General features: G+C 40.0%; 2 protein-coding genes and 1 pseudogene across 24 annotated transcripts in view; 1 reads left to right on the top strand and 2 right to left on the bottom strand.

The window, feature by feature from the left end:
• FBXL13 (F-box and leucine rich repeat protein 13) overlaps positions 1-26,810 on the top strand; it is a 263,608-nt gene that overhangs the window by 222,604 nt on the left and 14,194 nt on the right. For 14 of the 19 annotated variants that reach the window (XM_017011850.3, XM_005250207.5, XM_011515928.4 and 11 more), the window contains one exon: positions 19,219-19,353. The exons of the other annotated variants lie outside the window; for them this stretch is intronic. In XM_017011850.3, coding sequence (XP_016867339.1) covers positions 19,219-19,353 — 135 coding nt within the window. The remainder of the gene's footprint in view (positions 1-19,218; positions 19,354-26,810) is intronic. 19 annotated transcript variants of the gene reach the window in all.
• FAM185A (family with sequence similarity 185 member A) overlaps positions 1,470-26,810 on the bottom strand; it is a 101,725-nt gene continuing 76,384 nt past the window's right edge. For 3 of the 5 annotated variants that reach the window (NR_146986.3, NR_146981.3, NR_146982.3), the window contains one exon: positions 1,470-2,906. The gene's annotated coding sequence lies outside the window, so the exon portion shown is untranslated. Of the gene's footprint in view, positions 2,907-3,412; positions 3,534-26,810 lie in introns of all 5 variants that reach the window. The other 2 variants (NR_146984.3, NR_146979.3) reach the window with 1 other exon arrangement.
• Positions 17,485-17,588, bottom strand: RNU6-1136P (RNA, U6 small nuclear 1136, pseudogene; annotated as a pseudogene).

Genomic DNA, 26,810 nt, shown 5'->3' with positions numbered 1-26,810 from the left:
TCCCATTTTTCCCTGTCTACTCTCTCCCTTCCTCATGTCAGATTCAAAATAAACAGGGATATTTTACATGGAGAGCGATGAACTGCAGTGTGGTAAAAGTCTTCTCATATAAACAAAGTATTCTGTGGATAGAAATGTTATATGATCTAATCATGAAAGTTGGGGGAGTTTGAAAAATTATGCCAGATACTCAACAATTAGGAACTTAAGTTACTCAAACATACTTCCTAACATCCTTTATGGGAATGGAAAGCATGAGATAAGTAATTGGCTAGGATAAATGATTACGTGCTCAATTGATTCTTCAAGAGCGTGTGAGAAAAGTAAAATTCCTAGACCTAATCTTAAGTGATGTGTAGGAAGTCATAAAGTACATATTGTGAGCAAGCCACAGTGTAATTTTTTCATCACTTCAAGCATATCAATATGCTGTTAGAAAAAACCCCAAAGTCATGTGTCATACATGTATTGAACAAGAAGGGAAGCAGTAACCTAGGAATACAAGCACTGAAACACATTGGAAGCTCTAGATAAATGTGCCTTGAGAGTTTAAAACCCCAATCACTCATAAAAACCTGAAGCTAAAGTAGGAATAGAAAGAGAGAGAGAAAGAAAGAGAAAGAGAGAGAGAGAGAGAGAAGAAGAAGGAAAAGGAAGAGGAGGAGAGGAGGAGGAAGAAGAAAAGAAGAAGGAGAAGGAGAAGAAGGAAAGGGAAGAAAGGAAGGGAGGGAGGGAGGGAAGGAAGGAAGGAGGGAAGAAAGAGAGAAAGAAAAACCTATAAAAGGGTTTGTCCCACAAGTAGGAAGATAATGCAATAATAGCTGAGAAGTCCACAGAGCATGGCAAACCTTAAATTATCTCTGTCAATTTGAAGTAGACTTTCCCAGAAGTTTTAACATGACTAACAGGAGACTGTTAAAATACCATCCCAACTAGTGTGGGCTGTAGAGGATTCCAGGTCAAAAGATTCTCTAGACCTCTAGCATTGAATTCTAAACTTCTGGAGCTGAAAGAATCTTAGAAACATCTAAAGCAACTCCCTAATGTTAAGGTAGTAAGAATAAAAAATTACCTCAAAGGCCAAGAGCGCTTAAATGACTGGCCCAAAGTCTTATACCTTCTCAGCAAACTAATTCAGTAACAGTTTTATGAAAATGAAAGGTAGAAACGGAGAACTGCTGTTCTGAATGGTTGTTTGACAGCTTAGTGAGAGAAAAACGTTTTCAAATTATTTTTGCTGTTTCTCACTGGGTCTGCTGTTGCTCACTGGGAACAATGTAATCATACTTAAGGGAATCTGCTTTAAGGAGCATTAGTGTCACATAATGTCAATTTCCCCCAATTTTAGACCAGGGATACTAATGTTCTAAGAAGTCCCTAAGAAATCTGCCTGGTAGTATATTTAATAGTGTAGAGTTAAATAAATGAACACAAAACAAATATCCCAGAGAGGACTAGAAACTTCCATATTGGAAATATTGTAACTCTTTAATAACAAAAAGGGTTACAAATCATTTAGATGTATGTAACCTACTAAGACAAAAAGTTGAAAGATTCCTCTAAAGTTAAGCCATGATTTACCTGCTGCAATTAACTTAAGGGTTAAACATGCATTTATACAAAGTTTTATCTATGAATATGATATAGTCAGGCTTTCAAAAGATCTTTGACAAGGTGATAGACTAGACAAAACAGTTTAAAATATTAACATTTTTAATACTGGGTTATATTTCTCATATGGTGATCAGTTATATTTGAACAATAACTAGAAATCATTTAGAAGTATTGAAACCTACCATGGTGATGACATAGCCTCTTAATGTACATTATTGATTAATTTTTAGATGCTCCTCTCATCCTTGGGATGAAGGAGTATTGGCCAAAGTTTGATGTTAAGTATCAGGAGACCAGTGTTTTCTGTCATTCTTTTTTGATTCTGTGGGGTCCAGACATTTTTCTTTTCACTCTTTGGAGCCTAAAAATTGTACTATTTTTAGGTGCTCTGAGATTGTAGATGAAAGCATTTACCCATTTGGTAACTATATGACCATACAGCTGAGTTCTGGCATATCTTTAAAACAATTTAATCTTTTACAAACTGACATGTATTTATTTTCAGTAATCTAAAAGATTAGTTGTTCTACTCAAATTCATGAACAATAAATTTTTCTTTTTTTTTTCTAAAAAAACAAAACAAAACAGGATACATGTGCAGAACATGCAGGTTTGTTTCATAGGTATGCGTGTGTCATGGTGGTTTGCTGCACCTATTGACCTGTACTCTGAGTTCCCTCCCCTCACCCTCAACCCTGAAATTTTTCTTTTTCATCATTTCTCATCCTTCTTTTTCTCCTCCCTGCTTTTGGTACGTGTGTGTCTGTGTTGTGGCTTTTAACCAGTTTTACCTCTTCCAAGATTCATACTTCTGGGCATGTGGTAATCTTTCCCCTTGCCTCCTCCAGCCCAATTATTAAGTCCCAAAAGGGAACAGACAAAGCCGGGGGAGGAGAAAGTGACTTACAAACTAATTTCACAATTCCTTACCTGGATTTAAAAAGAGAAGGAAAGAGAATAAAATAAAGTGAGTAAATTGAGATGTTTAGATTATCTGCACTTTATAAAGAATGCTCTCTCGTTACTTAGATAAGGTAACTATAGGAGAGATTCTGTTTTTAGCACAAGACATTGAAAACTTACACACTACATAATTCGCTTAATGAGAAAAATGAATAAATTTTTTACCCTGGTTAGGTTTTGCAAGAGTTGTGAACATAATAAGAATAAAAAATTACCTCATTTTAGTGTTTAGTGGAAACCACAGCACACGCAGAGTCAGTGTCTGGAGCCTCAGATGTATTGACTTTTAGGATCTGGCTTTAATTACTTTCTCCAACGTTAGTTCTTTTCTGAGAACAACAGACATTCAATGATTATGTTACACTAAAATTATTTGGTGCTCTTGAAAGGCATTTTGGAGAAGATGTTTGATGCAGCTGTAACTGAGCATTTCTTAAGAAATCGTTTTCTTGAGGATTTTATGAGGTCAGTTAAATAACAGACGGCAAAGTATGGCAAAGAAATGGGCTTAAATGCAGTGTTACAGTTCAGACGTATTAGAAGTTCCATCTTAATAAGTTGTTTTGATAGAACCAATGGAATAAATCCAATTATTTACTCTGGTTGTTTTTTTTTGAGATGGAGTTTCGCTCTTGTTGCCCAAGCTGGAGTGCAATGGCACGATCTCGACTCACTGCAACCTCCGCATCCTGGGTTCAAGTGATTCCCCTGCCTCAGCCTCCCGAGTAGCTGGGATTACAGGCATGCACCATCATGCCTGGCTAATTTTTTGTATTTTTAGTAGAAATGCGACTTCACCATGTTGGCCAGACTGGTCTCGAACTCCTGACCTCACCTCAGGTGATGCACCTGCCTTGGCCTCCCAAACTGCTGGAATTATGGGTGTGAGGCGCCGTGCCTGGCCTCTGGTTGCTTTTTATACTCTTAATCTGGTTTGCATTTCTGATTCCTCTTTCCTAGAATGAAGCATAATATAAATACATTTATATAATATCCGTACACACGAATGTGTATTTTTTTTTTTTTTTTTTTTTTTTTTTTTTTTTTTTTTTTTTTTTTTGAGACGGAGTCTCGCTCTGTCGCCCAGGCTGGAGTGCAGTGGCGCAATCTCGGCTCACTGCAAGCTCCGCCTCTTGGGTTCACGCCATTCTCCTGCCTCAGCCTCCCGAGTAGCTGGGACTACAGGCGCCCGCCACTACGCCCGGCTAATTTTTTGTATTTTTAGTAGAGACGGGGTTTCACCGTGTTAGCCAGGATGGTCTCGATCTCCTGACCTCGTGATCCGCCCGCCTCGGCCTCCCAAAGTGCTGGGATTACAGGCGTGAGCCACCGCGCCCGGCCTCGAATGTGTATTTTTTATGCAGATTATCTCTAAATGAAAATCTTGCAGCTAGACAAAAATTTCTAATTATTTCAGTGTTAGCAGGTTGAGGTAGTTGATTAAGAAATGTCATTAGCAGCCAGGTGCTAATGTCATTAGCAGGAGAAAATCAGGTTTCATTAGGATGCACCAGAAGGACTGGCAGGTGTGTATGCAGTGAAAGTGTGCATATATGTGTGTTTACATGCAAATATATGTAAAGGTACATCTATGTCTAGTATATGTAGGTAAATTAAATATATGTATACACCTTGGTATATATTAGATCATATACATATGTCAATGTGTATATGTATTTATTACACCCAAATTGTGTATAGAGAGATGCTATGTGATTATACATTTCTAGGCTAAAACCAATAGATGATGGTCAGTATTTAAAGCAGATAATAAAAATTGGTTTGTTGGTTGGGTGCAGTAGTTCACACCTATAATCTTAGCACTTTGGGAGGCCGAGGTGGGTGGGTTACCTGAGGCCAGGAGTTTGAGACCAGCCTGCCCAACATGGTGAAACCCTGTCTCTACTAAAAATACAAAAAAATTAGCCAGGCATAGTGGCGCACACCTCTAGTCCCAGCTACTCCGGAGGCTGAGACAGGAGAATCACTGGAACCCAGGAGGCAGAGGTTGCAGTGAGCCGAGATCACACCACTGCACTCCAGCCTGGGCGACAGAAAGAGACTCCATGTCAAAAAAAAGAAAAGAAAGAAAAAAAAATTGAGTGTTAAAGAATTACCTTTTTGTCTATGTTTTATTTTAAAAATTAATCATCCATTTAAATGACAAAGCTCTTTTTCCTGTGGAAGTGTGTGGATTAGCTCTCTGATAGCAAAAGTAATAATATAATTTAGGGAATGTGGGACTAGCTGTCAAGAGTCCTAATTTTTATTCCAATTCTGCCTCTTACATGGCCACATTTTCTTAAGCAATTCACTTGGCCCACAACAATTCATTCCCCTACAGTGACTACAATTGTGAAGCAGACAGGAGCTTGCACCCTAGAGCAGGGGTAGGCTTTTTTTTTTTTCCTGTAAAGTTTTGAAGGGTCAGGTAGTTTCTGTTTTAGGCTTTGCAGGCCATACAGTCTCTGTCGCAACTTCCCAACTTTGCCATTGAGCATAGAAACAGCCATAGACAATATGTAAATAAATGAGAGTTGCTGTATTCCAATAAAACTTTATTTATGGACACTGAAAATTTGAATTTCATATCATTTTCACATAATCATGAAATATTATTCTTCTGTTGCTTTTTTTTCAACCATTCAAAATATATAAACACCATTCTTAGAGTGTAGGCCATACAGAAGAACTACAGGTTAGCTGGGCAGGCAGACAGCCACCGTCAGTGAGCATTGAGCCTGTGGCTGTCATAAGCAAATGCTGTTTGTGCTCTCTACCCTGCAGCCTGGTGGGCTGGCTGTGCTTGCATAGGTGGCCTGTGGCTGTCCCAAAGTTCAGGCACTTTGGTCATGTCCATTAAGCTTCCTTAGTACAACACTGGGGTATTATTTGCAATTAGCAAGTTGGAAAGAGCTTAGATGATTAATTAGGCTACTCCATACCTTCAAGTAAGATCATGCTCAAACCATCTCATTTCAGATTTTTTTTTTTTTTTTTGAGACTGAGTCTTGCTCTGTTGCCCAGGCTTGTATGCAGTGGCACGATCTTGGCTCACTGCAACCTCCTTCCGGGCTCAGACAATTCTCCCACCTCAGCCTTCCAAGTAGCTGGGATTACAGGCATGTGCCATCATCCTCAGCTCATTTTTGTATTTTTAGTAGAGATGGTGTTTCACCATGTTGGCTGAGGCTGGTCTTGAACCCCTGACCTCAGGTGATCTGCCTGCCTCAGCCTCCAAAGTGCCAGTATTATAGGCATCAGCCACCATGCCCAGCCTCAGATTAATTAATTTTGTGAAAATGTGACCATCTTGCTCAGTGATTGAACACAAAACATTTTGGATTAGACTTTCCATGTAGAGGACATGGATAATCTGTTTGTTTTTTGAAAACAGAAATCATTATAATTTTTTTTTAAATGATGAGGCTAGGTTTAGTGGGTTAGGCAGATATATAAGCAGAAAAATTCAATACTATGTGGTGGTTGTCAGCTAATATCAATTTAGCCCTTACTACATGTCAGGCACTGTTGTATTTTCCATGTATTAATTTCCTACTTTATGAGGTAGGCAATACTTTTAATTCCATTTTACAAACTGGAGGTTCCAAGAGGTTAAAAACTTCTCCCAAGTCATGAAACAGGTAAGTACATGAGCTAGTGTATAAAATGTCTAATTCCAAAAGGATGCTTTTAGTCATAATGCTGTGATAAAGGTATGTAGGAGGCTATGGGAGGATTCAGGCGAGGTACCTAATCCAGCATGGGAATGCCAGGGAAGTTTATCTGTCAGAAAAATCACTTTAACAAGGAAAGTGGAAGTTACATTGAAGAGCAGAAGGGGAAAAGGAGAGTGAAGGTAGGAATCTAAGAGGTTTTTGTTATAGTCCAGGGGTGACAGGATAGCAACCTGAACAAGGGAAGTAACAGGGAGGCTGGGGAGAAGGAAATGGATTAGAGAACATGAACATTTAGATAGCAAAATCCATGAAATTGTTGATAGTTCAGATGAGGGATGAGTGTGAAGATGTGGTTAAAGACGATGTCCATGCATCTGACTTGGCTGCCAGGAATGTTGGTGGTGTCCCCGCTTTCAAGCCCTATGAACTACCAAGATCTATTCAGTATTTTGGCACTTACTGTTGTCAAAATTTCTCTTCTTGTGAGTATGTGATTTATAGGAAATATATATATCTTGGTCTTTATCCACAGTCCTGGCACAGAGCTCCTTAAAGGGCTTGTAACTTTCTGAGCAATAGGGGTAATAGGTATCTTTTGTTCTAATATTTGGTCTTTGACCATGGTTCCTGATGCAGAACTCCTAATTCCTTGGAGTTTCCTGGGTGTATCTTCTGTTCTAATGAGGTGACTCTTGGTGAGTTCTTGGTTGGGGGCTGGTCATGAGAAAGGCCAGGCCACGATTAGAATCTTGGAACTTTCTGCTCCATTCCCCATCCTTTGGGAAGGGGAGAGGGGCTGGAGATTGAGCTAATAATTGATGGTGTCTATATGACGAAGCCCCCATAAAAATCCCTGAACTACAGGGTTTAGAGTACTTCCAGGTTGGCGAACACATCCATATGTCAGGAGAGGGGTGCACTCCAACTCTGTGGGGACAGAAGTTCCTGCACTCAGGACCTCTACACCTAGCCCTATGTACCTTTTCATCTGGCTGTTCATTGGTATCCTTTATTATATAATAAGCTGGTAAACATGTTTCCCTGAATTATTTGAGTTGTCCTAGCAAATTATCAAGCCCAAGGAGGTAGTTATGGGAACACTAATATATAGCTGGTTCATCAGAAGTCCAAGTGACAACCTGGGACTTGCGATTGGCATCTGAAATCTACTGGGATTGGGCTCTTAACCTGTGGGGTCTGTGCTAACTCCAGTTAATGTCAGAGTTGAATTAAATTGTAGAACATCCAGTTGGTGTCACAGAATTGGTCAGTGTATAGAAAAACCCACACATCTGGTATCAGAAGTGAAGTGTTCTGGAAGTATTGAGAGTGGTGTGACTATAGAGAAAAAAACAGTTTTTTTAATATGGCATGATTTTGTCTGTGTTTCCTCTAAGCTCTCTTCACCTCTCCACTCTTACGACAGTCTTTTAGGCATTCTCTCTCCCACTCTATCTTTAGGTTTGTGGCAGCCGCAGGCAGGCTAAGGGAGCTCTGTTTGAATTTGTTTTTACTCTACCTACAAGTAATTTGAAGGATGTATTGTTCTCTTAGTTCTAGTAATGATGAATGTATGGGTCCTGTGCAGTTTTATTTCTTTTCTCTTTATATTTTCTGGTTTGGAGGGGAGGCGAAGATTCAGACTTCGATAATCGTCATTGTTCTCCAAACCCAAACATAGCTCCCTCTTATTTTTATTAACTATAAAAGATAATTAATAAATGACTCTGAAGTTAATTATAAAAAAGTATCTCTAACAGAGACAGTTCATCTGCTTTTTAAAGCCCTGAAACCAGAATGCAGTGGGTAGTATTTATAATTACACAAAAGAAGGAAGTCTGTGGTAGTGGTTCAGCCTCATCTGCTCTCTTGTGTTTTCTGCCTGGTTTGTGGCTTATATTCTTCACAAGCTGGTTTACTAATATCTTGCAGATGACACCACTGATGAATTTTAAGGGTGTAACCTAGGTCAGCACCCTGTTGTCTGATGATCACTTAGGTATCTGACTTCGGCTTATGGAGTATAAACGGCAGTAGAGATATTAGAACCTCCACTTCTCTCATTGTCCTCTTCAGGCCCCGTCTTTTTTGAGACCCTCAATCTTGCTCTAGCTGCTTCACATTGGATTTTTAAATTTTTATTATTTTATTTTTTTTATTAAGACGGAGTCTCGCTCTGTCGCCCAGGCTGGAGTGCAGTGGCGCGATCTTGGCTCATTGCAACCTCCGCCGCCTGGGTTCAAGCGATTCTCCTGTCTCAACCTCTGGAGTAGCTGGGATTACAGGTGCCCACGACCATGTCTGGCTAATTTTTTGTATTTTTCGTAGAGACGGGGTTTCGCCACGTTGGCCAGGCTGGTCTCAAACTCCTGACCTCAAGTGATCCACTCACCTTGGCCTCCTGAAGTGCTAGGATTACAGACGTGAGCCACCGTACCCAGCCTTTCTTTAAAAGCTGTGGCAGGTTTTTTTGTTTTTTGTTTTTGTTTTTGTTTTTGAGATGGAGTTTTGCTCTTTTTGCCCAGTCTGGAGTGGTGCGATGTTGGCTCACTGCAACCTCTGCCTCCTGGGTTCAAGTGATTCTCCTGCTTCAGCTTCTCAAGTAACTGGGATTACAGGCATGCGCCACCACGCCCAGGTAATTTTGTATTTTTAGTAGAGACGGGGTTTCAGCATGTTGGTCAGACTGGTCTTGAACTCCTGACCTCAGGTGATCCGCCTGTCTCAGCCTCCCAAAGTGTTGGGGTTACAGGTGTGAGCCACCATGCCCGGCCTACCACTTGAAATAACATACTCCTTCTCTCCCTTAATCTTCATAACCTTTTATGATACATTCTCTTAGATTATAAACTTTCGATTTTAAAAATTTGCCCTTTGGTAACATTTATCTTGATTTACAAATAGAAAAGGAGGTAGAGGAGGAGGGATTCGGCATAAGGGACTGGGAAGGGCGGCAGCCATGTGGCACAATCATAAGCTACTTCATAGTTGGGAGAACAACAGAGCAACAGTCATTGCTGTTCATTTGACTTTTGGTCTGACCCAGGAATGTTCAGTAAGTTGAGTGGCTCCAGGCATAGTCTAAGTAGAAACTGAGGGTTCAGAGTTCTGAGTCTTGTACTCTGGACTATCTGTGCTATGGAACTGAAACCCCTAGAATTTGTAAGGAACATCTACAAGGATACTCAGGTCAGAAAGGCCCAGGAGTACCTACCTCATTCAGCAACAGTCCAGTCAAAATCTTCCTCCCCGACAATGGCCTATGACCAGCCTGTTCTACACATTCCTCTCTGGAGTGTAAGAAGGGTTGAGTTCATGTGCTCTAACAGCAAGAACTGGATTATTCTCCAGTGACTCTCTTCTGATCTTAAATACTTAGTTTGAATCACTAAACTTTCTAACTAGTTATAAATGTTGTTTGTGCAAGATTCTCATCAATCATTCTCATCAGTTGATAGACTCCACCCCCTGGTGCTCAACCAAAGTTGATTTTGGTAGCCTTTGACACATACTGACTTGTAATGCCAAAGATGGATTAGATGTGTTGGCTCCATGTAGCAACATTTTTTTTTAAAGAACTCAACATTGATTTCTATTTGTTTTCCAAGATTAAGTCATTCAGTAATTATCAAAGCATGAGATTTCAGTAACTCCACCTCTTCTCTAGGGTTACAAGTTGTGTTTATGGTTCGCAACAGAAGCAACGGAGGACTCCTTTCCAAAATGACTTTAATCATTGGCCTTTGTTGCAGCAGAAGCTCTGAAATCTCTTGTATGGGGAGGTGGAACGTCCGGACATTTGGATCTTTTGTCTCTTGACCATATTGCTTGGCAAAGTCTCTCTTCTCATCCAATACTCCAGGTTATGATTAGGAAATAATTGACTAAACTGTCTATGATGGAGATTCCAGAGGGTCTCTGGTTTAGAAGTGTTTTACAGGGTATTGGGAGAGGAAACTAAGGAATTCCTCTGGTAGAATGAAGGGTAGTGGGGATATCTGGTAGCTTGTGGAGAAAGCAACCCCCTACAAAACCTGGAATAATTAAGAGTTTTACTATGGAAATCTGTGCTGCTTGGCTATCCATGCCAAGGATAGTTTCCTAAACTTTATAATAGAACAACATACTCCTGGAGACCCAAGACACCTGGAATCAACTGGGAGTCACAGATAAACTCTTGCCAAGATACCCAGGCATTATTCTTTCTTCAAAGCCTGTGAGCAAAAGAAATAAACAGTATTCTCTGTGGCTCCTGACACTAGTGTGTTTCTAATTGTGGAGGCAGTTCAAAAGAATTAGAAATTTGCTAGACTTCAAAGGATGTGGGATTTGACAGTTTGTCAGTTTCCCATTGTCTGTAAGGTTCCAAGGGATACTGGAGTCATGGGTACTGTGTTTTCTTGGCCGAAAAACAGCTGAAGCTGAGAACACCCCACACCAGTCCTGGCTTCTTGCCCACTCCCATTGGGGAAGAACCACTCTCAGACAACTGAAGCACTGCTGAACTTGCTAAATGAATGTGCACATCTGTTCTTTTCATATTGAGCATCCACAGAACAGAACTAAAAGAGAATGTGTTAAAAGGAAGATAATCCGTAGGAGCCCTCTCCCACTCTTTAAGCTGCCCCTGGAACATTAGTTTATCCTTTGTAAGATGAAACTTGCCAAAAGTTAAAAAAAAAAAAACTGTCAGATTGTCTGAAGGCAAAAATTTAAAAAAAGGGAAAATAAACATCAGAATGTTTGCTTCTTTTGTTTTTTAAACCTATGTTTAGGTTTTTGATATGTTTTTGATCCCTCTTCTATGTGACACACCTAGGCTTTGCTCATTGTGCCTTGCCTGACATAAACCAAGGGCCTGTGGCATGTCTCACAGGAGCTATGATTTCTCCATGTTATAATTTGTAATAACCCTCCCTATCAATTCCAGTTAAATTTTGTTCATTATATTTCCTCATCCTAAAGCCCTCATCACATACATCATAGATAGGATCGTTCCAGGATCTCTCTGGTTCACAGACAAAAGCCAGGGTCCATGTCTTCCAAGTGCTTTTGGAATACACATTTTCTTTTAATCTTCTAATAGGCCTATGAGATAGGTAGACAGTTATTTTCTTTCTCCTCTTATATATGAAGAAACTTGAGGTAACATGACTTGTTCCTGGTCACATAGATACAATTTCAGATTCCAGGCTCTCTTTTTTTCCACTAGACTGGTAGCCTCCCTTGATTAGATCACCTCTTATTCTATTATGTCCGCAAATGGGAGGTGAAAGCAGTACTGATAATAGTTCGTGAACTCTTTATTTCTTAGAGATCCTTAAATGGAAGAGGTCATAGGATGCTGTGACTGTCCTTACAGTAAACATTATGAGTTGTCATTTTCTTGGGAAAGACTAAGAACAAAAAGTGAGGTGGCTGGCTGTGCAAATAGACACCCATCAACTCTTTCTGGCTGATTATTTTAGCTTAAGGAATTCCCCCGCCTTTCTTGCCCCACAGAGGACCCTGGACTAGTGCCAGGTAATTGGGCCACTAGGCACCACTTTTTGAAATAAACTTAGAGAAATGTAAAAAGTGTGGGTTATGCCACAGGCAACAAGAAAAATATCTGATTGCCATTTGGGTAATTCAATCCTGGTTCATTTTTATTTTGGAGAGAAAATCTAAAACCTGAAGCTGTTCTAAAATTTTTCTCAATAAATTCTAGTTACCAAGTACAATTCAAAGACATTTTGTTTTGGTCTTTTCCTGGTCATCTTTCCTTTTGGTTTTCCCAATATACATTCTCTTTCACTGCTTACCCTTTCTGTTCTTTAATTTCTTCCAATTTTCCTTCTTTTTATGCATCTGTCAAATTTTATATGTTAAAGATAATTCCTTTATTTTTACAAAATGTTCTGGATCTGTGCAGCCAGTAAGCCATCAAGATTTACTGGCAACCAAAGGTGTGCTGTTGGGTAGGTGTCTCTAGAGAAAGCATGTACTCCAGCAAATGAACAACACAATTTTTTTGGTGTGACAAGAAAATATTGAAAGTTCTAGAAATGTCAGATTTATTTTTTATCTCATACATTCTATTTTATATGTTTAAATATATAATATATATTTGAATAGTTTATGCCTATATAATTTACAAAGTACATTAATATACATTTACTGAAAGTGTATGCTCAAAATATTTTTACTATGCCAGGCACAGTGGCTCACATGTGTAATCCCAGCACTTTGGGAGGCTGAGGCAGGCGGATCCCTGAGGTCAGGAGTTCAAGACCAGCTGCCAACATGGTGAAACCCTGTCTCTACTTAAAAATACAAAAATTAGCTGGGCGTGGTGGCAGACACCTGTAATCCCAGCTAGAGGCTGAGGAACGAGAATCTCTTGAACCCAGGAGGTGGAGGTTGCAATGAGCCAAGATCATGCCACTGTGAAGGGGGCCAGCCCCTCCACACCTGTGGGTATTTCTCGTCAGGTGGGACGAGAGACTGAGAAAAGAAATAAGACACAGAGACAAAGTATAGAGAAAGAACAGTGGGCCCAGGGGACTGGCGCTCAGCATACCAAGGACCTGCACCAGCACCGGTCTCTGAGTTCCCTCATTATTTATTGATTACCATTTTCACTATCTCAGCAAGAGGAATGCGGTAGGAGAGCAGGGTGATGGTGGGGAGAAGGTCAGCAAGAAAATGTGAGCAAAGGAATCTGTGTCACAATTAAGTTCAAGGGTAGGTACTATGCCTGGATGTGCACGTAAGCCAGATTTTTGCTTCTCTCCACCCATACATCTCAGTGGAGTAAAGAATAACAAAGCAGCATTGCTGCCAACATGTCTCGTCTCCCGCCATAGGGCGGTTTTTCTCCTATCTCAGAATTGAACAAATATACAATCAGGTTTTATACCAAGACATGCCGTTTCCAGGGGCAGGCAGGAGACAGAGGCCTTCCTCTTATCTCAACTGCAAGAGGCCTTCCTCTTTTACTATCCTCCTCAGCACAGACCCTTCACGGGTGTCGGGCTGGGGGACCATCCCACGAGGTCTTTGCCATCCCACGAGGCCATATTTCAGACTATCACATGGGGAGAAACCTTGGACAATACCCAGCTTTCCAGGGCAGAGGTCCCTATGGCTTTCTGCAGTGCATTGTGCCCCTGGTTTATCGAGACTGCAGAATGGCGATGACTTTTACCCAGCATACTGCCTGTAAACATTTTGTTAACAAGGCACATCCTGCACAACCCTAGATCCGTTAAACCTTGATCCCATACAACACATGTTTCTGTGAGCTCAAGGTTGGGGCTAAAGTTACAGATTAATAGCATCTCAGGGCAAAGCAATTGTTCAGGGTACAGGTCAAAATGAAGTTTCTTATGTCTTCCCTTTCTACATAGACACAGTAACAGTCTGATCTCTCTTTTCCCTACACCACTGCACTCCAGCCTGGGTGACAGAGTGACACTCTGTCTCAAAAAAAAAATTTTTTTTTTACTATGGTGTTCATGATTTAAAAAGTTTGGCAATCAGAGCCACAGAGAAGCAGTGCATACAAATAATAATACTAGCTACTATCTACTGACTGCTAACTATGTGCAAGGTACTGTTCAACTGCTTTATTCATATTAACTCATTTAATCTCCCCAACAACTCTATGAAGTAGGTGCTACTCCTCATATTAAGCTACTCCTGTGTTATTCCCACACCACTGATGAGAATATTGAGGGGTAAGAGAGGTTGAGTAACTTATCCAGAGACACAAAACATCTCATGGAAGGATTTGAACTCAAGCCAGTGGGCCCCCAGACTGTGCTCTTAACCAACCCTGTATGCTGCCTCTGGCAGTTACTGAACCGAGTGAGAAGAAGGACTGGGCTTAGTATTCTGAGGGCCATATATGGAAGCTCATTCTCCTCACTCCTGTGCTGAGAAGCATTCTTCATTCATTTTGGATACTCTCTCATCTTGAACTAATTCTGTATGCCAGATGTTGGCAAAGATAAATTAGACATGGATTCTACCCTCAAGAAGTTACAGTCAATGCAGAAGATAAGACACTTACATGAATAACTATAATACAAGTAGAAAGTGAGAAAGTTGCCTGGGCGTAGTGGCTCATGCCTATAATCCCAACGTTTTGGGAAGCCAAGGAGGAAGGATCACTTGATGCCAGGAGTTCGAGATCAGCCTGGGCAACATAGTGAGACCCTGTCTCTATAAAAATTAAAAAATGAGCCAGGCATGGTAGCATGCACATATGTGGAAGGCTGAGGTAGAAGGATCATTCAAGCCCAGGAATTTGAGGCTACAGTGAGCTATGATCATGCTGCTATGCTCCAGCCTGGGCAACAGAGCAGGACCCTGTCAAAAAGAAAGAAAAGCTTATAAGAATTTGAAAGCGCATCTCTTCCACAGAGAAGAATTGGGGAAGACTGTAGAATAAACCACATTTGAGCTGGTTTGAAGCCAAAGTTTATCCCTCACATCACCATCTAATTTTATAACAAATTTCATCATGAAAGTGTCTTTGGAAATATTTGTTTTGGTCCTTGGCCTTATCCCCCTTTCCCTTTCAGAGTTCTCTCCATGTTTTAAAACAGGGAGCTTCTCTGAGGCTGGGCCTTTGCTAAGCCTTGCTCAGCCTGGTTTCCCTGGCAGGGAAGGTGGGAATGCAAGAGTGGCATCTCCAGGAGGGGCACCTTCAGGCTCTGCAGAGTTTAGTTGTGGTGCCAGGCCATGACCAGTCCCACTTGCTCTGATGCCCAGTGGGAACAAGGCCATTGTTGGTGGAGTGTAGCTCTCCATCTCATGGGATATGCGAAGTAGATATCTTGGGATATGCCCAAGAAACTGAAGTTTTTGTATTTAGTTGATATCTTAAAATTGTGGAAGTTGCATTTTAGCCTTTGGGGCAGCCAAAAATGTCTTCATTATAGAAAATGGTTCTTGACAGCACATATTTTCCAGAATTACCAACAGGGAAAAACTCCCCAACTTTGCAGTAGAATTAATTGGGACCTAATGAGGCAAATAGTCAAGAGATGGTGTTATGAGTATGCAACACGAAGTGAGCTTTTCTAAGGCTAGAAGCTGCCACCTGTCAAAGTGGTTTAATTCAGGATTTTGGCAGAAGCACATTATTGTGACAGTCAATAAATGTGAGTGAAATTCAGTCTCCTCTACGTACCCTATTTAGGAATGTAGTCATTAAGTGCCTACACTGTGACTCAGCTCAGAAGACACAAGAAGGAATGATCTAACTCGCTAAGAGATATGGAAGTTTTCTTCCAGATTGCCAACACACAGCAAAATTGGCTGATACATGGGAAAGGAGCCAAACTTGATAATGTTTGCATTTTTATCTCTGTCTTTACTGTAAAAGATTTTGACTTGGAAGAAATTTAGTGTTGCATTTTCCAAGGAAAGAAAATCAGCAGCATCGATAGAAGTATGATTCTGCAGCATTGGAGCCAGAAGTGTATATTGTAATCTTATCTGTAGGGGGGAAATGGAATTTCATGAGTGATTATGTTGAAACATGCTTGCAGATTTAAGTACTTAATATGACTTATATGTGTTTAAAGGAAAACACGAATTCTAAGAGAGGAAAAGTTCTGACTTTAGTTCGCCAATCTGCCACTGATTTAGCATAAAGCCTTAGACCAATTTTTGTGCCTCAGATTTTCCATGGATGAGAATGGTACCATGAATGTATCATAGACCTTGTAATCATTTTTAAGTTAGTTTTAAATTTAAAACCTCTGAGAACATTTGTCTTTAAAGAATATTAGAGCTTTTAAAAAGGCATAAGGCAGATTTGATTCGAGCAGTCCAAGACATTGGCAGATGCTACTGAAGAGGGTTTTCAGACACGAAGAGCCTTGAATCTCCCTCTAAAGCTTGTTTCATCCTTCAATAAATTATTCTTATAGTTTAAATATTCTTTCTTGCTTTAATTTTTCTCTGGTTCCTCTAACTCTGTCCATTCTCTCTAACAATGTTAATGTCTCTAACAAGGGAAAAACAATGTCGGGGCCGGGCGCGGTGGCTCACGCCTGTAATCCCAGCACTTTGGGAGGCCGAGGCGGGCGGATCACGAGGTCAGGAGATCGAGACCATCCCGGCTAAAACGGTGAAACCCCGTCTCTACTAAAAATACAAAAAATTAGCCGGGCGTAGTGGCGGGCGCCTGTAGTCCCAGCTACTTGGGAGGCTGAGGCAGGAGAATGGCGTGAACCCGGGAGGCGGAGCTTGCAGTGAGCCGAGATTGCGCCACTGCACTCCAGCCTGGGCGACAGAGCGAGACTCCGTCTCAAAAAAAAAAAAAAAAAAAAAAAACAATGTCACCTTACTTCTTGCAACATAAAAATTCTTGTATTATTAAAAGAGACTTCTTAATTTTCTTGAAGACATAAAGGATCAGTGAACCAACTAGTATGTACTGAGCACTTACTGTGTTCTAATATGATGTTTGGGAAAGGGATATGAAAGCTAGCAGATTTCCAGGCAGTACAAGGGGCTTATTGCATTTTTATTGAATCTCCAAACTGAGATTCCAGGCCACTGATTCCAATAATTCAAAGGTAGATTCCTTTCTGTACCTCCTTGGGTGTGCCCCACTATGCTTGATTATCTCCAGTGACAGGTCCCAAGCTATCTCCTGACAAGCTGCCCCTTCTAATTTTTGCCATCACGTAGTTGCCAGACAAGACAGACTTTCATGCAGTACAGGAATGAGTCAAATACCCTAAGTGCTGAATCAGTTGAAAAAGACAAGTTCTGCATGAGATCAAAGAATGAATCACTGTTGGCTGTTGTGGTCAGGAAAAGATGATGACTTAGGGTTAAATAACCAATATCTTTCAGTTTTTCTCAAAGTACAATACATTTGTGCATCTTTATTATTATTGGTGTCATGTGCAAATCCTGATAGTAGTTAACATTTATTCTTTTTAATGGCTTAAAATTTTTAACTGACAAATAAAAATTGTATATATTTATGAAGTACAACATGCTGTTTTGATACACACACACACACACACACACACACACACACACACACATTGTGGAATGGTTAAATCAAGCTAATTAACATTCATCACCTTACATACTTATGATACTTTTTATGGTGAGAACATTTAAAATCCATTAGCAAATTTCAAGTATACAATACATCGTTACTAACTATAGTCATCATATACAATAGATCTCTTGAACTTTCTCCTCCTAACTGAAAAAACAATTGAATGTTTCACAAATCTGTGTCATCCTTGTTCAGGGGCCAGGCTAATCCCTGTATTTTTCCAATTTTAGTATCTGTGCTGCTGAAGTAAGCACTAGTTAACTTTTATGGGGTGCTTACTATGTGCCAAGCACTAGCCAGTGTGCATACTGCCTCTCAACTAACACAGTATATAAAATCTTAGAGATAGCTAGAGAATCTATTTTGTGCTAAGAGCCACATCACATATATATATATATATATAATCACATATATATAATATATATAATCACACATATATATAATATATATATAATCGCATATAATATATATATATATAATTTATATATAAATAAGAAGTATCTTTAGTAACCCATTAGGGTTACTAAAATCTAGTACTTACAACTAAAATTAATGGTAAACTACCATTTACTGAGGTCTCTAACTTTGTATTCTAAGAGGAGCTGCTTCATAATGAGGCAGAATTCTTAGAATGATTGAGCACATGTAGATAATTATAATAATTCTCACATTTTGGGGGAGGAAATTTCCTCCTTTTTCTTTTCTCTTGTCTTCTCTTTTCTTTCTTTCTTTCTTTCTTTCTTTCTTTCTTTCTTTCTTTCTTTCTTTCTTTTCTTTCCTTCCTTCCTTCCTTCCTTCCTTCCTTCCTTCCTTCCTTCCTTCCTTCATCATGGTTTCCAATTTCTACTCCTATTGCTTTTTAAATATATTTTTACAATTACGGTTAGGTTTACTTTTGTGGATTGTTTTGTTCTTGTATAACTGCTGAGTTGTAAACTTTTAAGTGTTATTTCCTCATGGATTCTTATCACTGAGTTATTTTTTAACTGAAAAGTAGGAATGAAAATTAAGAAGTATTGATATAAAGGGAATGATTTCCAGGCCTTTTTCTAGTCCTAGATATTTCAGGTGAACATTTCAGCATTTCAAAACAATGCTAGAGAGTAGATGTTATTTTCCCTAAGTTAAAAAAGAGGAGCTGGGCACAGTGGCTCATGCCTATAATCCCAGCACTTTGGGAGGGTGGATCACTTGAGGTCAGGAGTTCAAGACCAGCCTGGGCAACCTAGAGAAACCCCATCTCTACTAAAAAAAAAAAAAAAGAATTAGCCGGGCGTGGTGGTGCACGCCTGTAGTCCCAATAGGCACAAGAGGCACAAGATCACTTGAACCTGGCAGACAGAGGTTGCAGTGAGCTCAGATTGCACCATTGCACTCCAAGCCTGGGCAACAGAGGAAGACTCTCAAAAAAAAAAAAAAAAAGGAAACAGGCTCAGAAAGATAGTAACTTGCTAAGATTTAAGAGGTAATAAATGGTGGAAACGAAAGCAAAACTCGGGTCTGTCTGATTCCAAAGAATCTGTTCTTTCCATTACATTCCACTGTCAATCTTGGAGTGTCTGCCATATAATCTTACCCTCAGATTTCTTTTCTTCTACTCATTACTGACCATATGAGTCAAACTTCATTAGACCTAACTTCAAGAAAACCAAATTTTGTTAGCAGGCATTTGAATATCACTAAGCTGTTAAGCTGCTTTGTGAATATCTTTTGCTATAAACAGATGTTGGATGTAACATGGGTTTTTTAAATTATTTTTTGGGGGCATCAAGATCTAACATCTGTATTTCAGGGACTGAAATGTACATTTAATAAGCTACTATAAGTAAGACAGTTCTAGATGACTAAAGAAAAGAAAAAATTTGACCTTGGAATTTTTTGCAGGCATTCTGCAAAAGCTCACTGATCTTGGAACATTTGGATGTCTCTTATTGCTCCCAGCTGTCAGATATGATTATCAAAGCACTGGCCATTTACTGCATTAACCTCACATCTCTCAGCATTGCTGGCTGTCCAAAGGTATGTGCAGGAGTCAGGGCTCAAACACATCCAATTTAAGCACTGCCAAGGGACAAGGCAGGACAGCGATCAGGGCTGGACTCAGAATATGTTCTCTTTGCCATGGTTGAGGTATTCATTGGATTTTTTTCTTCTATCCTCAAATTGGAAATAGCTTATGATTCCACTGGTGTCAAAGTAGAATTTTCCAAAAGTTAAAAACATAATTCTCATACAAATATAAACATGTGTCAAAGATTTCTTTAATTCACTAATGAGAGAACCAACAAAATGACAAAGCCAGTGCGTAGAGCATTTGAATGAACTTAGTATTTGTAGGAACTGATGAAAGAATGTTGCATTAAGAGTGTTAGGTTAGATCTAAAAGTGTTTTACAAGTTATTAAATCCATAACCTTGGGGTTACAGTTTATACCAGATACAAATAATTTGCATCTTTCCTGGACAAAAATATAACAACATATAACTTCATTGAGCTAGGGCCTTAGTGGACAGTAAATGGTATGTCAAACAAAGGCATGATTTCCTATAGAATTCTCCAGGTAGGCCTGTTAAACAGTGTTCCAGTTTGACACTCCAAGGACATACCATCATCTTTTGTGTTATTTTCAAGTGTTTTATAATTTTTCTGGGACCTCTGTATATAAATGAAGTAAGTACTCATTATGAAAAATTTGGACTACATATAAAAGCTTAAGGGAGAAAGTAAATATCCATTGTCCTGTCACCACCTGGACATAACCATCGCTGGTATTTTATTCTTCTAGATTTTTTTCTATGCACAAAAAGATTAGAAATAGTTACAGAAAGTTTGTGTTTTGCCTTGTTTTTTAAAATAATAGAATCATACTTTCCAAAATACATTGTAACCTACTTTTTAATATACTATGGACATATCTCCATGTAAAGAACTAGAGATCTCAGGTTCTGGATTAATAATAGTAGACTGAATATACACATATAATTTTGTTCCTCTTGAAACGCTACCAGAACTAGAGATGAAGAGTGAGGGCCCATATGGATAAGGAAAACAGGAGAGGAGATAAGAGCAACAAAAATTTGGAAGCTTGAAAATAGATGGACTAATTTAGCAGACCAGAGACTGCTTTGAATCCTAAGCCAACAGTAGAGAAAGCTGGAAAAAAAAATCTGATTTACACCACAATCTTCAAGCTTGGGAGCACCGTGTACCTTTGGAACTGGGTTAAGAGTGGGGATGAAAATAAGGGAGACTGAGTTAGAGATTCTTAAGAAGTAGATAGATCTCTAGATTCCAGCCCCTACTCCATAAATCTGGGCAACTGTCTCTCCCCACCCCAAACAGAAGCCTGGAGATTTATTTCCTAAATTCTGGTTCTTCATCCCTGACACTATTCATATTTTGGACAAGATAACTCTCTGTAGTGGGGTGTGTGTGTGTGTGTGTGTGTGTGTGTGTGTGTGTGTCCCGGGCACTGTAGATGTTTAACAGCATGCCTGCCCTCTACTCACTATATGTCAGTAGCACATAAGATCCCATCCCTCCAGACCTTACCACATGTTCTCTGGTGGAGGTGAGGGCCAAAATTGTTCTTGAATTACCCACTACTCTAGAGATACTAAAACAGAGGGTTGCTAGGCTAACTAAGTGACTCAATGCTGAGTGCAGAGATATTCAAGCACTTTTTCCAACTGAGCATCAAGAACTTGGCTGCCAGATCTTCTTCTCCAGGTGGGAGATTGGTAGCCTCTTCTCTGGGAACCCTGACTAGCCCAAGATGAAAGACCTAAAATGACTGACAGGGGTGGTTCCCAACAAATAACACACGTAGATCATCCTTCATTGAAGCTTACAATAGAGATGCGTGTACTCTGACCTTCCGATTAGTTTTTAGTCCTCCACTCTTAATCGTGAACAAAAGGATTACCAGACATAAGAGGAAAGTCTCTAAAGTGGAAGATATTGATCAACACAAATTAACAGGAAAAACTTGGAGTTAGCAAAATATGAAGAAGGAAGAAAACTAAGAAATTTTTTTGAAAATCCTCAGAAATTACAAGGTTATTAACAATCGTGTTCTCTTCTATTGTACACACTGAAGGCTTTTGTTTACTACAGCATCACACCAACTCTCAAGATGCCCTACGCTTTATTTAATCTAGAAGTTCAGCTTCTATGTTGTTTGGTTTGTATGGTTAGCTAATTGTGCTGCAATAAAAAGGAGGAGGCAGCAGGGAAAAAGATGTGGTAAACCGTGACAAAACTAAGCCAAAAAGTTCACAGCAAAATTATTTTTGTTTAATAATATACTTGTTTAGAACTAGGGGAACCAGATGTCTTTCTGGTCAGCATCATCTGGTTCTATTAGTGAGCTGGGTCAAGGGACCCAGAACACTAGAAGCGCTGACCAACTGACTCTCTGCAACTTAAACAGTGATAGTTCACAGAGATTCTTGCGTTCATAGCACACAGACATATGGGCAACACATGGCTTAGTGAGAAGTGAGAACTGCCCTGGCTATAAAGCAGGCACAGATGGAGACTGGGTTTCTTAGTGGCTCTAAAGCAGAAAGTAGGAGAATGAGAAAAGAAAAGGCTCCAGTGCAAACAGAAAATAGGGCAGAGGATTTTGTTTGTTTGTTTGTTTGCTTTGGTTTTTTGTTTTTTGTTATGAAGGCTGAGGGAATTCCTTCTGTAAACTGTGCATGGCTATTGTCTTGCAGCCCAGAAGCTAAGGGGGATGTTAAACAAATATGCAAGAAATGCATCACTCTGTATCAAAGGTTTAGAGGGAGAAAGAGGAAGAAGGAAGAGTCAATTATTTTAGAACGCTGATACAAAGGAGTAGAAAGATTTAGCTTTACCATCTGAATTGTTCTGGTCAGACTGTGGGTCAGATGAGTATCCTGATTGAGAAGATGTGGGGACCATCATCTGGACCAATCTGAATACTCCTCAACTCACCCTGAATTCATAAGGCTGTGGTCCAACCTAACATATTCCACTTATGTTGATTTTGATGAGCCGTAAAACACATTGGTGTCTGGCTCATCATTCTGTGCCAGGTTTCCCAAAAGTCCACAGGTGAATTTTGAATGGTCACCTTATCTATCCCCAGAAAGGCCGGCTTTTCCTTGCAACCACCTCACCTCGAAGGTCAGTTAGTAGTACTGTGACCTCATCCTACTCGACACTAAAATGCCAAGGAAAACAAATATAGCTACAAATCAGAGGAAAAGCTGGTTGCTCTGGGGCCAGTTCAAAGCACTCAGCAGTGCACTAGGCCCTGTGGTTAACACTGTCACTTTTGACCCTCATGACCGACGTGAAGTGGGAGTTAGTAATGATTAGAAAGAAAAGGGGGTGGGAAATGAGAAAAATTAAAGCAAAGCCCTGAACAATGACAAAATGTCTCTGCAATGCACCTCTGAGAGGGATAAGGTAAGCGAAAGCAGGCCAGTGCTTTAGAACTGCATTTCTGTCCTACAAGTGTAGGTGATGTGAAGCAGGTCCACTGTGCACTGATTACCAACTTGTCTGAGTCTGGTGAGACAGGACACATTCATATGCAAAAAGCTTCATGAAGCAGATTACTTACAGATAGGCAGCAAGTGACAACAGAAGCCGAGGATTCCTGGAGGGCCTGTTTCCCAAGGCTCAGGAAAGCTGCTCAAGGTGGATGAAATCTCAACTGTAAATGTTCCACTTGCACCGCAGCTGAGGGTATCTGGAAGGTGGACCATCTTGGGTTTTATAACCTTGGGTTCACTTGACCCACTGGGCTGAAGCACGGAAAGATGTCCTGTTTCTAGGGGGAACTGGAACAGAGCCTGGCTGTTCCAGTCAGTACCCCCTATCCTCAGTCTCAGGATGTTACATCCCCAGCACATTCTATAGTTATTCTTGAGAATGACAATCTACAAAAGGGAGAGAACTGGGTGTGCCCAAGGCTACTTGAACTGTCCTGCAGGTGAAGTACATCTGAGAAGGTGATTGAGCCAGGTCACAAAGCCTGGCTGCTCTCCCCTAAGGCCCCAGGCTCAGCTAAAGCTACACAAACTTGTGAGCTGGGCGAAATCCCCAGGGCATGCACAGAATTTCTCTTATACTAATATGGTAAAACATTTTACCCAAAAAGTTCATTATTTGGAGAAATGTCTCTAGACCACTGAAACACTGGGAGATGAGAGTAAACACTATTTTTTGTCTGTTTTAAATTACCCTCATTTTACAGATGGGGAAATTAGGAGTGGAAAGGCATGAAGTATTGAGCAAATAGGATTTAGTGAGGTAACTTCATCCCAATTCTACAGACTTATAATGTAAAGGGAGAGGAGTAAGAGATTTGCTAATTCTGGGATTCCCCATGACAATCCTACCCTTTTCAACCTTTATTTTCTTAGTGCAGCTGGCTAACATGTTTGGAAATTCTTTCAGCTTAGAGGTTTTAAAATGACCATAAGGAAAATCAATTAGAGGTTTCGAAATGGTCATAAGGAAAAGAAATGATCACAATTGCTTCAAAGAGAATAAAATACCTAGGAATCCAACTTACAAGGGACGTGAAGGACCTCTTCAAGGAGAACTACAAACCACTGCTCAATGAAATAAAAGAGGATACAAACAAATGGAAGAACATTCCATGCTCATGGGTAGGAAGAATCAATATTGTGAAAATGGCCATACTGCCCAAGGTAATTTATAGATTCAATGCCATCCCCATCAAGCTACCAATTACTTTCTTCACAGAATTGGAAATAACTACTTTAAAGTTCATATGGAACCAAAAAAGAGCCCGCATTGCCAAGTCGATCCTAAGCCAAAAGAACAAAGCTGGAGGCATCACGCTACCTGACTTCAAACTATACTACAAGGCTACGGTAACCAAAACAGCATGGTACTGGTACCAAAACAGAGATATAGACCAATGGAACAGAACAGAGCCCTCAGAAATAATGCTGCATATCTACAACCATCTGATCTTTGACAAACCTGACAAAAACAAGAAATGGGGAAAGGATTCCCCATGGATGAAGCTGGAAACCATTGTTCTCAGCAAACTATCGCAAGGACAAAAAACCAAACACTGCATGTTCTCACTCATAGGTGGGAATTGAACAATGAGAACACATGGACACAGGAAGGGGAACATCACACACCATGGCCTGTTGTGGGGTGGCGGGAGGGGGGAGGAATAGCATTACGAGATATACCTAATGTTAAATGATGAGTTAATGGGTGCAGCACACCAACATGGCACATGTATACATATGTAACAAACATGCACATTGTGCACATGTACCCTAAAACTTAAAGTATAAAAAAAAAATGATCAATGGGTCATATTTTACCATATATTACAAAGGATGAGATTCCTGGCACATAGTATTGGCTGATCTTTTGCTGTGTAACCAGTCACTCTCAAACTCAGTGGCTTAAGACAACTACCATTTTATTTTCTCACAAACCTGTGGGCCAGGAATTTGGGCTGGTTTTGGCTGTGTGGTTCTTCTGACAGTGGTTGGCCCCAGGGTTGCCCAAGGAGCTGCAGTCATCTCTTTGCAGTCATCTCTTGACTCCCCTTAGAGCTGGTTGGCCTAGGGGACCCAGCTGGGACAGCTTCCTCCTGCTTCATGCGGTCTCATCCTCCAGCAAGCTAGCTGAGCTGCTTCAAGGGCAGTAACACATTCCAAGAGGCTAAGGGCTAAAGGTAGAAGCTGCAAGGCATCTTGAGGCCTGGCTCAGAAGAATATGACTTCTGCTCCATTCCTTTGGTCAAAGCAAGTCACAAGGTTAGTTTAGATTCAAGAGGTGAGGAAACAGACTCTACTTCTTGCTGACAGTAGCTGCAAAGCATTTGTGGCCATTTTTAATCTACCACAGCTACATTCTCACAAATAAATGAAAATAATACGATAGAGCTCTTAGGAAATAGCCAAATATAGCATAATATAACATAATATGCAAGAAGATAATTTCCTAAGAGCCTCTCCCTCTCTTGGAAATATATATATTATATATTAGATATATTTATTATATATAAGATACATTTATTAGATATATATTAATATATTAGAGATATATATACATATATATATATATATATATATATATATATATATATATATATATATATGAGACAGGGTCTCACTCTGTCTCCCAGGCTGTAGTATAGTGGTGCAGTCACAGCTCACTGCAGCCTCAACCTCCCAGGCTCAAGTGATCCTCCCACCTCAGCCTCCTGAGTAGCTGGACTACTAGCATACCCAGCTAATTTTTGTATTTTTTGTAGATATGGGGTTTCACCATGTTGCCCAGGCTGATTTCAAACTCCTGGGCTCAAGTGATCCACCTGCCTCAGCCTCCCAAAATGCTAGGATTATAGGCATGAGCCACCACGCTCAGCTTATATTCAAAATATGTTTATTATATTTAAAAGCCCTCCCACAGTTCAGGGGTTTAAAAAAAGCTAGGGCAAAAACTTGGACTCTCTTTTTGGCCTGACCTTTAAAGCACATTATTTCTTACTGCATTAGATTTTCATTAGTTAATATCTCATGAAACCACCTGTTATTAACCTAAAAGTTCATTTTGTGGACTATTCAGCCCCTTTCTTGCTGTCCATCTTCAAGGCGGGTTTTTTCTTGGGATCGTCACCAGAAGTGCTAGTAAAATTACCTGACTTCTCACACAATCAAAACAGGAATTGGTGGGGAGGGGGCAAAGGGGAGAAGAAACAAAAGTATAATTCAGCAAACTGAAAGCCAACAGTCAAGTTCTCTTTTGTATAAAGAGGTCCTACTAAAAAAAAATCACATATATTAATGGCAAAGGAGATGAATAATCATAATTATAGCTACCATTTATTGAGTGCTTACTTTATGCTAGTCACTGGTCACATACATGTTCTCCTTTAGTTCTGTGGCAATCTCGGGTAACCATTCTACAAATGGGGAAACTGAGGCTCGGAGAATTTAAGCAACTTGCCTATGGTCACAATTAAATAGTGCCAGAGCTGGGGAATTCAAATCAGAGAAAATACTGCTAGTAAACAATGTGGGAAAAGATCCAACATAAGAAAGAAATCCAAGTTAAAACATTATTATTTGAGGTATCATTTATTACCTACCAAATTGCACATTTTTTTATGGTAATGCCCAGTGGTTGGCAGGGGGTCAGTGAAACTGGTCCTTATATTGTAGATAGCATTATAGATGGGTATAATCCTTTTGTGAAGCAATGTGAAAATTCGTAAACAAGAGCCACAAAAGTGGTCATACCCTGTCTTAGTCCGTTTTCTGTTGTGTATAACAGAATACCTGAAACTGGGTAATTTATAAGAACAAAATTTAGTAATATTACATTTCTGGAGGCTGGGAAGTCCAAGGTCAAGGTGGAGCATTTGGTGGAGAACCTTCTTGCTGGCAAGGACTCTCTGCAGAATTCCAAGGCAACGCAGGGAATCGCATGGCAAGGGA

Source organism: Homo sapiens, chromosome 7 (assembly GCF_000001405.40).
Source record: "Homo sapiens chromosome 7, GRCh38.p14 Primary Assembly".
Taxonomy (NCBI): domain Eukaryota; kingdom Metazoa; phylum Chordata; class Mammalia; order Primates; family Hominidae; genus Homo; species Homo sapiens.
This window is presented reverse-complemented; position numbering and strand designations above follow the sequence as displayed.